Source organism: Homo sapiens, chromosome 15 (genome assembly GCF_000001405.40).
Source record: "Homo sapiens chromosome 15, GRCh38.p14 Primary Assembly".
In the NCBI taxonomy this organism is placed as follows: Eukaryota; Metazoa; Chordata; class Mammalia; order Primates; family Hominidae; genus Homo; species Homo sapiens.
The window spans coordinates 80,647,213-80,664,753 of NC_000015.10; the positions used below are offsets into that span (position 1 = coordinate 80,647,213).

The following is a 17,541-nucleotide window of genomic DNA, read 5'->3' on the forward strand; positions in this document are numbered from 1 at the left end:
CCCGAGGTGCCGGGATTGCACACAGAATCTCGCTCACTCAGTGCTCAATGTTGCCCAGGCTGGAGTGCAGTGGCGTGATCTCGGCTCGCTACAACCTCCACCTCCCAGCCGCCTGCCTTGGCCTCCCAAAGTGCCGAGATTGCAGCCTCTACCCGGCCGCCACCCCGTCTAAGAAGTGAGGAGCATCTCTGCCCGGCCGCCCATCATCTGGGATGTGAGGAGCCCCTCCTCCCGGCCGCCCAGTCTGGGAAGTGAGGAGCACCTCTTCCAGGCCGTCATCCCGTCTAGGAAGTGAGGAGCGTCTCTGCCCGGCCGCCCATCGTCTGGGATGTGGGGAGCGCCTCTGCCCCGCCGCCACCCCGTCTGGGAGGTGAGGAGTGTCTCTGACCGGCCGCCCCGTCTGGGAAGTGAGGAGCCCCTCCGCCCGGCAGCTGCCCTGTCTGGGAGGGGAGGAACATCTCCGCCCGGCAGCCACCCCATCCAGGAGGTGGGGGGCAGCCCCCGCCCGGCCAGCCGCCCCATCCTGGAGGTGGGTGGCAGACTCCGCCCGGCCAGGCGCCCAGTCCGGGAGGTGAGGGGCGCCTCTGCCGGGCCGCCCCGTCTGGGAAGTGAGGAGCCCCTCTGCCCGGCCGCCACCCCGTCTGGGAGGTGTACCCAACAGCTCATTAAGAGCGGGCCATGATGACGATGGCGGTTTTGTCGAATAGAAAGGGGGGAAGTGTGGGGAAAAGAAAGAGAGATCGGATTGTTACTGTGTCTGTGTGGAAAGAAGTAGGCATAGGAGACTCCATTTTGTTCTGTACTAAGAAAAATTCTTCTGCCTTGGGATGCTGTTAATCTATAACCTTACCCCCAACCCCGTGCTCTCTGAAACATGTGCTGTGTCCACTCAGGGTTAAATGGATTAAGGGCGGTGCAAGATGTGCTTTGTTAAACAGATGCTTGAAGGCAGCATGCTCGTTAAGGGTCATCACCACTCCCTAATCTCAAGTACCCAGGGACACAAACACTGCGGAAGGCGGCAGGGCCCTCTGCCTAGGAAAGCCAGAGACCTTTGTTCACATGTTTATCTGCTTACCTTCCCTCCACTATTGTCCTATGACCCTGCCAAATCCCCCTCTACGAGAAACACCCAAGAATGATCAATAAATACTAAAAAAAAAAAAAACAAAAAACAAAAAACAACAACAACAACAAAAAACTCCACTTAACAAAACACAATCTGATTAGTTTCTGAATAAAGTAAATAAAACCTGTAAAAAAAAAAAAGCCACTTTATCTTCAGGGTTTAGAAACCGTTGTCTAGAAAGACAGATCATTCATCAAGGTAAGTCAATGGCCAATAGAGTGGGTCCCATCTATACTACCTCTCTCTGTATAGATATAGTGAGGGCTGATCAAGCTATGATACAGAGTAGGGCTTGATTGCTGAGCATGATATGCAGGAAACAAGTAACTTAATAAACCCGCCTGACTGAGTCTAGAAGGGGAGCATTATTCTCCCTCTTATTGATGAGCTGCAAAGCTCACAACCCTCAGAGAGTCTAAACCAGCCCAGGATACTGGGTCAGTACTCTGAAGAGAGGAACCAGAAGCCCCGAAAAATACTTGGCCTGACTGTGGCCTTGGTCTCTTCCTGATATTCTCCCTCATCATGTCTAGGTCTGACTTAGGGAAGAATCCTCAAGTGCTGAGGGAATAGTGAGAATTTAGAAAGGCCATTCAGAACATATGTACTGAGTTCAGCAAGCCACTATCATAGTCACCAGGTCAGGGGTCCATGAGAGTAGTGAACTTACACTACTTGCCCACAATACTTGGCACAAAGCCTGGCACCTAGCAAAGACTGCCCAATCCACATTTGTTGGGTTGAAATCGAGTCAAGTATGCACACTTCACCAATGTGTTTGTCAAAACTGGAGCGATGCAGAGAAGATGGCAAGGTCCCAGTGCTAGGATACATGCAAATCCATAAAGGGATATAAACACACACAGGAATGCTGGGCACAGTGGCTCACGCCTGTAATCCCAGCACTTTGGGAAGCCAAGGCAGACGGATCACTTGAGGTCAGGAGTTGGGGACCAGCCTGGCCAATATGGTGAAACCCCCCGATCTCTACTAAAAATACAAAAATTAGCTGGGCATGTTTGTGCACACCTGTAATTCTAGCTACTCAGGAGGCTGAGGCAGGAGAATCACTTGAACCCAGGAGGTGGAGGCTGCAGTGAGCCGAGATCATGCCACCACACTCCAGCCTAGGCAAGAGAATGAGACTCCATCTCAAAAAAAAAAAAAAAAAAAAAAAAAAAAACACACACACACACACACAGGAAAATAGTATCAAAACCCCAAAAGGAAGAATATTGACCAATCTCAGAGGAGTGACTGCCACAGGGACCAGCACTGGGTGGGGTTCAAAGGAAACTTGATATGTGTCTATTATGTACTATGTTTTATTTCTTCTCTTTTCTTCTTTTCTTTCTTTTTTTTTTTTTTTTTTTTTTTTTGAGACAGGATATCGCTCTGTCACCCAGGCTGGAGGGCAGTGGCGCCATCATGGCTCACTGCAGCTTTGACCTCCCGGGCTCAAGCAATTCTCCCACCTCAGCCTCCTGTCTAGCTGCTGGAATTACTGGCAGGCACAACCACACCCCACAAATTTTTTTTTATTTTTTTGTAGAGATGAGGTCTCACTATGTTGCCTAGGCTGGTCTCAAAGTCCTAGGCTCAAGTGATCCTCCCACCTCTGCCTCCCAGTGTTTTATTTCTTAACCAAAAAAAGAAAATAAAGGAGGAACTGAAACAAATATGATAAAATGTATTTATTAATTGTAGGCAATGGATACATTGGTGTTATATTAACTTCTGTAATTTTCTGAAGGTTTGAGTTTTTAAAAATAATATTGCAGCAGTATGCTACAAAAATCATTATTTTTGTTTCTGTTTTGGCTCCAGCGTGGAGGATTCCCAAGACTACTCTCAAGTTCAATGATTTGGTAGAAACTTGTAGAACTCAGAAAAGCTGTGATACTTACAGGCTCAGTTTATTAGAGTGAAAGAATACAGATGAAAATGGCAAAGGAGGCCAGGCTCAGTGGCTCATGCCTGTAATCCCAGCACTTTGGGAGGCCAAGACGGGCAGATCATGAGGTCAGGAGTTCAAGACCAGCCTGGCCAACATGGTGAAACCCCATCTCTACTAAAATACAAAAGAATTAGCCAGGCATGCTGGCGGGCACCTGTGATCCCAGCTACTCAGGAGGCTGAGGCAGGAGAATCGCTTGCACCTGGGAGGCAGAGGTTGTAGTGAGCTGAGATCGTGCCATTGCACTCCAGCCTGGGTGACAGGGTGAGACTCTGTCTCAAAAAAAAAAAAAAAAAAAAAAAAAGAGAGAAAGAAAAAAAAGAGAGAGAGAAAGAAAGGAAAGAAGGAAAAGGCAAAGGAAAACGGTGCCTTAGGCAGAGTCCAGGACAGACCGGGTATGAGCTTCCCACTGTCCTCTCCTAGAGGAGTTGTACAGAGAGTACTTAATTCTCCCAGGGACAACGTGTGGTGGTGGTACACACAAAGTACGGCCAACCACAGAAGCTCATCAGAGTTTTGGTGTCCAGGGTTTTGTTATTCAGTCTCTGGCCTCCCCTGAGGTCAAACACAGTGCGGTCTAAGACCTGCATCATAAATCACATTACTAACATTAGGTCATCTGATGTCGTCCAAGACTTCAGGTATACAAAAGCTGGTCCTTTCTTTGGAACATGCAGGGGTTGAACATCATAAGCCTGTGAGTTAACCCTTTGTTACACAGTCCCCAAACAAGCCAAAGTGAGATGCAAGACCTCTGCCTGGATTTGCAAAAGATTTTGTGACCCTCAGCCAACCACCTACCTCAAGCCTACGGAACATTTGGAGAGATGGCATTGGTTGGAGAGCCTCCAGTTTTCTTAAGCTCCTCACCTCAAGCCTAAGAATATGGGCTCCAATCAGACCACTGGAAATCACAGCATGTGTCTCCTGAACTTTCAGAAACAAACAGACTGGTGACTGATTTGCACCTGAGATATCTAGTTCAGGAAAGAGTGTCTTGTTGCTCTGGGAACAGACTTTGGGATTTGACTGCCCTCCCAGATTTTGATGAGACAAAGAATAGGTGCGTATTTCTAGTGGAGGGAGGAAGAACAAACCAGTTCAGGACCTTCTTGGAAGCTGTGGGGCTGGACCACAAGATTCTCAGGGGCTAAGGAAGGCGCTGTAAGCAGCCAGCCAGAGGAAAAGGTATCAGCCCCAAAACAGGAAGTGGAGGAGTTTTCGAAGAACCTTTTAAAGTCCCATGGGAGAGAAAGAGTTAACTTTCAACACTGCCAAGTCCAGGAAACACAAGCCAACTCACTATAGTAGTCAACTTTAAAAGTTCCTGGCCCTGCACCATGGTGCACACCTGTAGTCCCAGCTACTCGGGAGGCTGAAGTGGGAGGATGTCTTGACGTCAGGAGATTGAGACTGTAGTGAGCTACAATTGTACCACTGCACTCCAGCCTGGGCACAGAGCAAGACCCTGCCTAAAAAAGAAAGAAAGAAATTTCTGTCCACTTTCTCCTCCACATTCTGCCCTGTTCTAACTTTGGAGAGTCAGAAACTGGTTAGTAGGGTGCATGAGAAGAACTAGGTGAAGAAAAAGAAAGAATTTTCTTTTGACTACAGGCCTACATAGGTCAAAGCTAGGGAAGTAAAAACATTCAACTTTGAATGAAGTGCAAAATTCTAATTATTAATGAGACTGGAGATTTTAATTAATAGACTGGTACTATTTGGGAAACAGAGTGACAAGAGAAACTTTTTCACTATATTCCCCTCTCTGTACTTCAGTTCTAGTAATTTTCTTGACTTGTCTCCAAGTATACTAATCTTATTTCCTGCTATGTCCCATCTGCTGATAAGTCATTCTAATAAATTTCTAATTTCAGATATTGCTTTCTATTTCTAAAGTGTCTACTTGGTTTTTGAAGAATATATTTTAGTTTTCTATTGAAATGTTTATTCTTTTTACCTATTTCATTCTTTTTTTCCTCCATTTTCTAAAAAATATTAATCAAAAGAAGTTCTTGTGTGCTAACTCCAATACCAGGGTCATCTCTGAGTCTGCTTCTATTGACTGTTTCATTCCTTGGTAATTGGTCTCTTTTTTCCTGCCTCTTTGAGTATCTAATAATTTTATTGTATGCCAAATGTTGTGGATGGTACATTGCAGAGGCTCTGGATTATGTAATACTCCTTAAGAGAGTGTTAAATTTTGTTCTTGCACAAAGTAAAATTACCAAATGATCACTTCAATCATGTTGAGACTTGAGGATTGGTTTTAGGCTTATTTAGGGCAAGTCTTTTATAGTTTTGCCCTAGTTTCTAAAGGGTAGCCCTTACTTCTAATAAATGGTTCTTATTCCTATGGTACAATCTTTCTAGAGTCTCAACTGAAAGCTCACATGTTAACCAAGTACGTCTACTCTGGGTACTCCTGAACTTCAAAATCTCCTCAGCACTGTCCAGTACTGAAATCTTTGCTTTGCTGTCTAGCCTTCTGGTCACCTGGAATCTCAGCCTACCCATGCATCTTTTATGATTCAGTCAAAGATATGATGGAATTTGTGTGTGTGTGCAGATTTTTTTTCACTCCTTTTCTGAGGCTTTCTTCTTACAAGTACACTGACTCTAGCGGCCTACACAGCCATGAACTCTAATCTCTATTTCTTCCACGCAGCGTGATTCCTGCTGTCTGCATGGGTTCTGTTTCCCTGCACCATGGCTTGGAGGTAATTTCAGAGTTTCAGTCCAATCCTCAAATGTTCCGTCTGTCTAACTCCATATAAAGGCTGCAGAAAGGAGAGAAATTGGAGAGGGGAATCGCATAGTTATCCCAGAAAGGCAATAACCCAGATAGAAAGAGGAAGAGCACTGGGAATTAAATATAATGAGAGCAGTTTTCATGTGTTGTGGTATATCCAGATACTGAAAGATTTTAGCTCTAGTGTAGACAACATAACACCAAGGTAAGAAAAGAACAAAGAAAAACCTGGAAAGATATTCCAGTTGAATTTGTGTTAGACTTCTCAAATTGACTTAGGAATTGTGCATTTAAATGTTACTTGCAGGTTTAAATCTGAAAGGGTAAAGTTTCTAGCACCCAATAAGGACAGAGAAGGTATAAGTATCCACCTACCTCCTCCATCCTCTGAAACAGAAAATAACAAAGAGTTTGAAAAGGATAGGAAGACATTTTGGCTTAGTCCAAGATTTGGCAACCAACTCGGGAATGTAAGGACAAAAATGACCAAAACAACAAGTCATGGGAAACAGCTGAAAGAAGAGACTGCAGTTGTTTATTAAACCCATTACAGTAATTTTTGATGTTTAAGATTATGCAAATGAATTTTGATCTTTTCCAATAGGAATATGAACAGAAGGAATAAATAGGATATTTAATTTAAAAAAATACAAATGGCAAAAATCGTAAGAAGAAAACTTTAAATAAAAGCAGAATAAAACAACTAGTTACCATTTTTTAAAACTATAAGCATAGCATAGAAATTAAGCATGGAATAATTTAAATAACCAGCAATTCAAACAAGGCAAAGGTCCCCAAATGGGTAGATTGCTTAAATAAGTTATGATGAATTAAAGAGCTGTATGGATATGATCTTATCTTGGCAGAAATAGAATTATTTGAACATATATGCATATATATATATATATACATGTGTGATCTAAATAATATATGTTAATGTGTTAGTGAGAGTTAACATTACAGAGTGGGATTATGAGTTTTCTTTTTGTTCTTTTGCTTATCTGTACTTACATATTATAATGAAGATATAATGTTTTTATAACAAGAACTCTTCTCCCATCAACACCAAAAGTCTTGTATTTTTTGTGCATGAAAAGTTTTTTCTTACTTAAAATTATCAATTTATTTTACACTAATTATACCTGCTTTGCTTATTTGGCTTTGTTTCCACTTTGTGGACAGGAGTAAAGAGATGTCACTGTTTTAACATCTGTAAGATGGGGATAATACATAGCTCAGAAGGTTACTACCTATGTCCAGCAATAAACTCTTTGCTGTTTAAATCAAACCCCACTGTTGAATTTAGATTGTTTTGGCTGATGAGGGCCAGAAGAAGAGATCAAGTTACCTTCTTTGATCTCCATTGTCCCCTCCAAGCCACTCCAGCTTTCCTCCTTCCCTCACAACACTCAGCTGCTTCCAACTCATTCCTTCCAGCTATCTGACCTGGCACCTACCCGCTGCAGTCACCAGCTGATTTCCTGGTCTCTCCTGTATTCATGAAGGAATTGAATTGGCCTACTGGCTTGCTGTCTTCCTCTCTAACCTCATGTGGGCTTTAATTCTTGATGATTTCAGTCTCTAACTCTTCACTCCCTTAGCCCTTCAATTCCTTAACCTCCTTCCCTCTACCCTAGCACAATCCCCTCTTCCCATTGCCATACTCTAGACCAAGTACCCCTGGTAAATTCACCTTTTCTGAAAACTTCCTTTCAAACATCTTTCTCTCTTCCGAGCTTACTTTCTCTAATACCCCACTTCAACAATTATTAGACTAAATCCATTGATTTCCCCTCCTTCTTTTCCACATTAAATTTTCAATATCCCATTACTTCCCTCGTGTCTTCATTTCTCATCATTACAATCAGTTCCTTAAAATGCCTTCATCTCCCCTGTGCCTTTTTCCCCTTATCATATTTGCCTGGCAGAACTCCAACCCTGGTTGAATGCAACTTTTAGATTTCTTTGTACTTGCTTCCAATTATCTGACTGTCACCAGAGAAAAGGTGCAGAACCTGGGTGACTGGTTCAGCTTAGACTTCATAACCACAAACGAAACAGGTAACCAACACCACGTGGCAAGCCTGTTCCATTTCCTTAGTATATTTTCTTTTCTTTTCCCTCCATATCAAGTTGATGACCAGGTGCACCTTCAGAAGCTCTGTCCACTGAGAGGCTATCTATTCCCTTATGACTGTTTTCAGGGCCACTCCTGAGTGGGACAATAGTGGCGGCAGTCCATCTTTGGCTTGAACCAACATATTGAGCTGACTGATTCATGATCCAGTTTTGGATTTTTCCCTCCTCTATCAGAGGTTGTGGGGAACCTTCCCCAGGAGGTCATGGTGTGAGCAATTGCCTTGGTGCAACAGAAGTAAATAACGTAGTTAAAGCCATTATAGTAATTTTTGATTTTTAAGATTATGCAGATGAATTTTGATCTTTTCCAGTAGAAATATGAACAGAAGGAATAAACAGGATATTTAATTAAAAAATACAAATGGCAAAAATCATAAGAAAAAAGTTTAAATAAAGGCAGAATAAAACAACTAGTTACCATTTTTTAAACCTATAAGCATAGAATAGAAATTAAGCATGGAATAATTTAAATAACCAGCAATTCAAACAAGACAAATGTCCCCAAATGGATAGATTGCTTAAATAAATTATGATGAATTAAAGAGCTGTATGGATATATATATACACACACATATATATAATATATGGATATATATACATATATATAATATGTGTGTGTATATATATATACACATATATATAATATGTGTGTGTGTATATATATATATATATATATATATACATATATCTATACAGGTTCTTGCTCTGGCACTCAGGCTGGAGTACAGTGGCACAATCACAGCCCACTGCAGCTTTGAACTCCTGGGCTCAAGTGATCCGCTCACCTCAGTTTCCCAAGTAGCTGGGACTGCAGGTGCACACCACCACACCTGGCTAATTTTTTTATTTTTATTTTTTGTAGAGATGAAATCTCACTATGTTGCCCAGGCTGGCTCTGAACTCCTGGCCTCAAGCAATCCTCCTGCCTCAGCCTCCTAAAGTGCTAGGATTACAAGTGTGAGCCACCGCGCTTGGCCTAGTAGATGTCCTGTTTATAGAACTTACTTGTGCCCTCCAGACCCATCCAGGCCAGATTGCAAATGAACTATTTTCATTGTGCACTGCTGTTGTGCCCGTCCTACCTAATGACTTGGAGGGTGTGCCAGTGTCCAAACCCTGATGCATGGTCTCAAATGGGACCCTGTAGCACACAGGATCTGCTTCTCAAATGGTGACGAATTCTCTGCTGCAAATGGCATGGCCTTGCTCCAGAACCCTGGGGCGCTGTGCTGGACCCCCCTACCTCACAAAGTGTCCTTACCTACTATGAAATCCTCTGGTACAGTGGATTAATTACAGCAGTGATATGGTTTGGCTGGGTCCCCACCCAAATCTCATCTTGAATTGTAGCTCCCATAATTCCCATGTGTTGTAGGAGGGACCCAGTGGGAGATCATTGAATCATGGGGGCAGTTTCCCTCATACTGCTCTTATGGTAGTGAATAAGTCTCATGAGATCTGATGGTTTTATAAGGGGAAACCCCTTTCACTTGGCTCTCATTCTCTTCTCTTGTCTGCCACCATGTGAGACATGCCTTTCACCTTCTGCCATGATTGTGAGGCCTCCCCAGCCATGTGGAACTGTGAGTCCATTAAACCTCTTTCTTTTGTAAAATTGCCCTAGTCTTGGGTATGTCTTTATCAGCAGCATGAAAATGCACTAATACAAGCAATCACATGCTGCAAGTGGCAAGGCTGGTTGTATCACATCCCGAATCTAGATCAGAATTCTCTACTGCTCTGGGCTCTGGCCAAGAAGTCCCAGCCATTGGAATTCAGTCTCTCTTGTGGGACTGTGATAAGGCTCGGGAGGCACATGGGCAAGAAAATGAGAGGTGGAGACATTAGTTCCTGATTGCTCTTTTTTTGCTGTTCCCCCCCGCCTCAAAACTAGTATTTTTTTTTTCCATACAACATCTGTTTTCAGTGATGGCCCATCTCTTTTCTCCTTTGTAAATAGAGTGTACCTTTCCTTTGAGCTCTACCTCCAGGTATGTAATATTATGTGTATCCCACCCTGATCCTAAGAATGTTTCCGTTTAATGACTGACAGCACATTGAAATAGCTCATTCATCTAGGATATTCTTTTCAACATTTATTTGTATTGGATTTAGGAGGAACTTAGAATTCCTGTGTTAGCAGTTGGGAATGTAAAGTTAATTTTTTTGCCATCTGCCATTTCTTTAAAAAGTCTAGGCCAGCACTGTTGAATAGAAACACAAGGTGAGCCACATATATAAGTTTACATTTGCTAATAGCCACATTGCAAAAACAAACAAACAAACAAACAAACAAACAAACAGGTGGAAGCCAGGCAGCCAGGTGTTCAGGCATGTGTCTGTAGTCCCAGCTACTCAGAAGGCTAGGGTAGGGTATCGCTTAAGCCCAGGAAATTGAGGCTGCAGTGAGCCAATATCACACCACTGCACTCCAGCCTGGGTGACAGAGCAAGGCCCTGTCTCTTAAACAAACAAACAAACAAACAAAAACTTACAGAAGGAGCAGGATTGAAAAAAACTAAGTAAATAAATAGGGAGAGGGAAAGAGGTGAAGTCAATTTTAATTTTTTTTTTTTTTTTTGGGGAAGGAGTCTTACTCTGTCACCCAGGCTGGAGTGCAGTGGTGCAATCTTGGCTCACTGCAACCTCCACCTCCCAAGTTCAAGGGATTACCCAGCCTCAGCCTCCCTTGTAGCTGGGACTACAGGTGCGTGCCACCGTGTCCTACTAATTTTTGTATTTTTAGTAAAGATGGGGCTTTACCATGTTGGCCAGGCTGGTCTCAAACTCCTGACCTCAGGCGATCTACCCGCCTTGGCCTCCCAAAGTGCTGCGATTACAGGTGTGAGCCACCGTGCCTGGCCAATTTTAATATATTTAATCCAAGATATCTAAAATGTTTTCTTTTTTCCCCTTTATTTTTAAATTTTTTTAGAGACAGGAGTCTTGCTCTGCCTCCCAGGCTGGCGTGCTGTGGGGCAGTCATTGCTCACTGTAGCCTTGAATTCCTGGACTCAAGAGAACCTCCCATCTTAGCCTCCTGAGTAGCTGGGACTACAGACATGAGCCACCACGCCTGGCTTAAATATTTTCCACATTTTATCCTAGCCACCTTTCAAGAGCTTAATAGTTGAATGTGGCTAGCGGCTATCATATTGGAGAGTTCTGATCCAGACTCATTCCCAGTAATTCTTCATATCCACGCAGAACTTTAGAGGCTACAAAAATCCCCCTACACCTTCTCTAGTTTGTTTCTTGAAAATGTGATCAATGGATTTATGACCTCCCTGTTGGAGATCAGAAACTGAAGATCAGAGATATGAACTGATTTTCCCAAGATAACCCAGCCAGTCTGAAAGTAGCAGAGGTGGAACCCAGATCTGGCCATTCAGAGTCTAATTCTGTAATGAACAGAGCAGTAATTCCCAAACTTGTCTGTATATTCAAATCACTTGGAGATCTTTAAAATTTCCAAAGTCTAGCCACACCCTAGATGAATTAAATCACAAGATCTGGGGTGGGACACAGGCGTCATTAGTTTCTGAAGCTCCGTGATGGCGTCACTGGGCAGCCACTTTTGGGAATCACTGGTATACATTCTTGTTCCTCAAAGTGTGGCCCATGGACTCATAGTATCAGCATCACTGGGGAGCTCGCCTTGTCAGAAAGCCATCTTCTCAAACCCACCCCAGACCTACTGAATCAGAACCTACCTTTTAACAGGATCTTCCAGATGATTCCAGTGCATGATAAAGCTTGAGAACTCTAAAGCATAGCATACTCCTTTTAGGTGAAATAAAATATAGTCCAGTACATTTTCATTATGGAGTTTATTGAAAAAGGCAGTAACCATGGTTTCATATTGGTAGCCATTATGTTTTCATTAAATTAATATTATATAATTAGGGTGCTGCTTTCTTGGTTTTATTATGACTGTATTTCTGAATGATTATTATACACTCCCTTTCTATTGCACAGAATTGATGTAAGAAGACTAGGGAAATTGCCCTGAATCTCTTTCCATGCATTTCTCTCAACCTTTAAATGCACCTTTATTTAACAACAAAAGTTCAACTTTTTCCCCCTCATTCAATCAGCAGACTTTTACCAAGAACTTATACTGTATATGATGTTGAGAGGTGAGATGAGAAATAAAAAAAAAAACCACTTCAAGTCTTTTTGTATGTTTTCAAGAGGCTTACAGTTTGTAGCAAAAAGCTAGCACATGCACCCAAATGGCTGTAAAATAAGAGAACACAGGGCACACCATGAGGGTGTGTAGATAAGGTGCCCTGTGATTCAGGAATAGGAGAGGCCACTTCCTGCTACTAGGATTAGGGAAATTGCCATGAAGGAGGTGACCTTTGTGTTAAAGGATTTGGACATTCAGAGGGGAGGGAAGCTGTTTTTACAAGAGAGAACGACCTCCCAGGATGGCTTCAATCATTAGGTGAATACTGATATGTATTAGTCAGAATGCCTGGTAGTAAGGGACTGATATCCTACTCAACCTAGTTAAAGCTGGAAGGAAGATTTTGGGCTCAGAGAATCTACAGATGTGAACAATCAAACTGTGGAGAGGACTCTGGAACATTGGGAACCACAGACTCAAAAGCTTCCAGAACTCTTTCTTCCTATTTTTTTCTTTATGTCAGTTTCATCTTTTCTTCCTTTAGACTGGCTTTTTCAACATGAGAGAAGCATGGCTGCAAACCACTCCTGTCTATTTACATCCTACACCTTCCAATACCAGAGAGTGAAATCCCAGATTTTTGGTAACTGCTTCAAAATAATATGACGACGGAGGAAAAAGATGGATGTATGGCTGAACCAAGATAGGTCAATGAATCATTGTTGAAGCTGGGTATTACACAGATGGGAGTCTGTTATGCTATTCTGTTTGTTTGTTTTTTTAAGACCCAGGACAACACACTGAACATTATGCTATTCTGTAGACTTTTGTACATGCTGGATGTTTAAATTTTAAAAACATCCCCATGAAGCAATCATACTTAGCTTCTCTTGAGTCAGACACCTGCCTCTGGATCAGGCAACAGTGGCCAGGGAATGTGGTGATGGAGGAACTTGGCAGTTCCAAAGAGAGCCTCATGGTGGGGACTGTGAGGTAGGATAGAGGAGCTGTTCCTGGAATAAAGGAGGCTCTATTTCCAGAGGAAAGGAGGGAAGGCATCCAGGGCAGAGATGATTGATTTACAGTGACTCCACCTTGTTATTATCAGCCTCCATTTCTCTCTCCTGGGCTCTAGGCCCATATTTCTGAGAATCATCAGATTGTCCCAACTGGATGTCCCTGGGCACCTCTAAATTGACACATTTAAAATCAGACTCTTCATCATCTCGTGTTCCTGCAATGTTTTCATCTTCCACTCAGTACTCTAACCAGAAATTTCTGAGTCATGTTCAACTGATCCTGCTTCCTCACCATTCCCATATTTCAGTTTTGTCATATCTACTTCTGAAATAATTATTGACTCCATCCCTTCCTCCCTATTTCCAGCTTCGCTACACCAGGTCAGAAGTCTCCTAACCTCAAGGGCTCTGAAGTCCGCACCACCTCATACAAGACATCACAACTTTCTACAACACCTATTTAATCTTTTCATCCCTGGGCTTCAAGTCTTCAAGAATTTCTTGTGGTCTCATAACAAACATAAGGCATCATGAGCTTAAGCTCTTATAAGGTTGTTAAAAATCGGGTCTTAGATTACTTTTAAAGCTTTAAAGCTTCTCACCTCCCAATATCGTATACAGTATAAGTGCTCAGTAAAAGTCTGCTGATTGAATCAGGGGAAATGAAAGTTTAACTTTTGTTGGAAAGCAAAGGTGCAGTGTCATTTAAAGCCATTTATATTCATTAGGCTACACACAACATGCACATCTAATTCTCCTGTACTTTTGCTTATGGCTCTTCCTTCTACTAATTTATTAGTTATAATTAACAAGTAATTGTGTATTTTTGTGGAGTACAATGTAATGCTTTGATCTCCAATGTATGCATTGTAGAGATTAATCTAGCTCATTAACATATCAATCACTTTACCAACTTATCACTTTTTTGTGGTGAGAATATTAAACATCTATACTTTTAGCAGTTTTGAAATATACATTATTATTTCTTTTTTAATATTTTTTTTATTTTATTTGACTTTTTTTTTTTTGTTTTTTGACATGAGGTCTCACTCTGAGACCCAGACTGGAGTGCAGTGGTACGATCTCAGCTCACTGCAGCCTTGGTCTCCCAGGCTCAAGTGATCCTCTCACCTCAGCCTCCCAAGTAGCTGGGACCAAAGTCATGTGCCACCATGCCTGGCTAATTTGTGGTATATTTGGCAGAGGTGGAGTTTCACCATGCTGTCCAGGCTGGTCTTGAACTCCTGAGCTCAAGCAATCCACCCACATTGGCCTCTCAAAGTGCTGGGATTACAGGTATGAGCTACCGTGCCTGGTCCTGAAATATATGTTGTTATTAACTATAGTCACCATGCAATTCAGTAGATCACTATGTTATTTCTTATCTGTAGTCTAAATGAAAGTTTGTACCCTTTGACTAACAACTCCCCTTTCTCTATCCCTCCTTCTCTGTGAAGCCTCTGGTACCCACCCTTCTTTCTACTCTCCATTTGCATGTGATTGAACTTTTTTAGATTCCACATATAAGTGAGATGATACATTATTTGTTTTTCTGTGCCAGGCTCATTTCACTTAACATGATGTCCTCTGATTCCATTTGTGTTGTCTCAAATGACAGACATTCCTTGTTTTTTAAAGGTTGTATATAGTATTCCATTGCGTGTGTATATACCACATTTTCTTTATTCATTCATCCACTGCTAAACAGTTAGGTTGCTTCCTATCTTGGCTGTTGTGAATAATGCTGAAATAAACAGAGGTGTGCAGATGTCTTAGATGTTCCAATTCCAATTCCTTTGGATATATACCCAGAAACAGAGTTGCTGAGTCATATGGTAATTCTATTTTTGGTTTTTTGAGGAACCTCCACATTATTTTCCAAAATGACTGTACTTGCTCCTTCTTGATTATGGACACATTGGCTCAATTCTACAAGATTGGGCTTAAAACTCACCTCCTTCATGAAAAGCCTCTGACTTCTTCAGTAGTCACTTCCTCTTTTGTGCTCTTAGACGACCTTTTAGTATGGCACTTCTAATGCCATGCAGTAATTATCCTTTTTTTTTTTTTTTTTTGCCTTCTTATCCTCCTCCCTGGCAAAAGCCCAATTTTAATCATCATGATGTATCTCTTGTACATAATGCAACAAAAAAACATTTAAAAAATAAATTTGAAAGCTACAACACAGAATAATGGGCCCTCTTGGTTACAAGGGATCCCAGCATTCTAGTTCAGCCACCTGTGACAGATTAGACTTTGACATAATCAGCTCCAGTGAAGGGAACTCTCTCCTGAGGGAGCCCATTCTATTTTTGGAGAACTTTTGTAAGGTCCCTCCTTGTACTGACCCTTGAATCCTTCTCTCTGCAATTCTTGCCAATTAGTCCAAGTTCTAGTTCTTGGAACCTCCTGAATGACTATTGGACTTCAGAAATCAGCTCTCCTGTTCTTCAAACTAAACATCAAACATTCTTTCAAGAACTGCTCACAAGGCACAGGTTGAATTTCTAAGCTTCTGCACATGCTTCAGCTTGTCTCAATCTCTCTGTATATGTGGCTCCAGAATTGTGTATGATAACAGGTGTGGTCTGATTGGGAACAGGACATCAACAAGGAAGTCTCATGAGTAAGAAGACTCGTGAGCAATATTGAAGGCACGGCTGATGTTGTGCAATGAGATACCAATTTCCACAGCCAAGCACAGCAGCCCATGATGAAGAACAAAGGAGACAGGTGTTTGTGTTTTTATTTATTTTGAGATAGGGTGTTGCTCTGTCACCCAGGCTGAAGTGCAGTGGTATAATCACGGCTCACTTCAGTGTCAACCTCCTAGGCTCAGGTGATCCTCCTCCCATCTCAGCCTTCCAAGTAGCTGGGACCACAGGTGTACGCCACCATGGCCAGCTAATTTTTTTCATTAATATGTTTTATAGAGACATGGGTTTTACATGTTGTTCACACTGGTCTCGAACTCCTGGGCTCAAGCGATCCTCCCACTTCCTCATTCCTAAGTGCTGGGAGGGATTACAGGAGTGAGCCACTGCACCTGGCCTGCTTGTGTTTATTCAGGGCTACAGATTGGCAAGGTAAGAATAGTGAAGGATCACAGAAAAGGAACCTCTCTGGAATTCCATTTCATCCATTTATATCATGTTCTTCACACTGTCATCTTGAGAGCAGTCCCCTCATTCTTCAAAGACTTCGTCATCTAAAGTGAATTTGTTCAGACTTTCCTCTGTAAGTTTTCAGAAGTTATTGATTTTTAAAAAATCTATCCCTTCTTCTTATTTGATGTGGCAAAGAGAAAGACACTTTTCACATTATTTTCCTAACAATATGTTGCTTAAAATTTGATAAACTAGTAATTCTTTTGAAATTACACGAGGAAACAAAATAAACCTTATCTCATTAGATTTAAAAAGAATAAAATAGTGCTCACTTCAGCAGCACATATACAAAAATTGGAATGATACAGAGAAGATTAGCATGGACCCTGCATGAGTATGATACACAAATTTGTGAAAAATAAAAATAAAAACATAAAATGGAGTGTCCAAGTCACCCATGATTGGTGTTGTTCTGTAAACATGGGAGAATCAGACTCCAGGGCAGGGTGCCATGAAAGAAGGAATGGGCTTCATGGATCTCTATTCTTCACTGTAAGATTATGGGGGGTGGGGGGTGGGAGCTGGGGATCAGGGAGATGTGTGGAACTCTCCCTTCCTGGAGTGCCCATTTCAAAATTAAAGCAGGAGCAATTTGTTAGACATAAAGAAGAAATTTCTGACGATCGGGGTCTCCAAATATTGGAACACTTCAACAACACGAAACATCAACATTCTGTGAAACAGCAAACTGACACATGACTAGGGAAGGAATGTCCCTCAAGAGGGTCAAGATTAATATTCGTGTCCTGGAGATAGGGCGTCCAGATCAGAAGGGCTTTAGATTGAAATTAGAGGAGGAGACAAACACCTAGATAGACTTGTGAAACCAGTTGCTATGGAAGACAGGTGTGACTTCTACAGGAAGAGCCTTATTTTGTAAATGATATGTGCAACCTCCACTGCCTACATAATAACGTGTATTTCACTGGTAATAATGTGGACGTGAGATATAATATAGTATAGTACAAACAGTCTTAGGAGGATAAGGTTACTTCGTCTGATAGGAATTCAAGAGAGGAATATGGGAATTAAAATACTTCTATAAGTCAGGCAAGGTGGCTCATGCCTGTAATCCCAGCACTTTGGGAGGCTGAGGCAGGCATGGTGGTGGGCACCTGTAGCCCCACCTACTCAGGGGGCTGAGATGGGAGTATCACTTGAGCCTGGGAAGTTGAGGCTGCAGTGAACCAAGATTGCACCACTGTACTCCAGTCTGGGTGACAGAGTGAGACCCTGTGGCAAAAAC

At 42.1% G+C, this 17,541-nt stretch overlaps 1 pseudogene, besides 1 other annotated feature; it reads left to right on the plus strand.

The window, feature by feature from the left end:
* Positions 6,929-7,430: an enhancer, noted in NCBI's record as "NANOG hESC enhancer chr15:80946482-80946983 (GRCh37/hg19 assembly coordinates)". NCBI's record gives its function as "activates a minimal SCP1, AML or CMV promoter by ChIP-STARR-seq in naive H9 embryonic stem cells {active_cell/tissue: H9 hESC(naive)}" and the evidence as "EXISTENCE:reporter gene assay evidence [ECO:0000049][PMID:30033119]".
* On the plus strand, positions 16,560-16,666 carry RNU6-380P (RNA, U6 small nuclear 380, pseudogene; annotated as a pseudogene).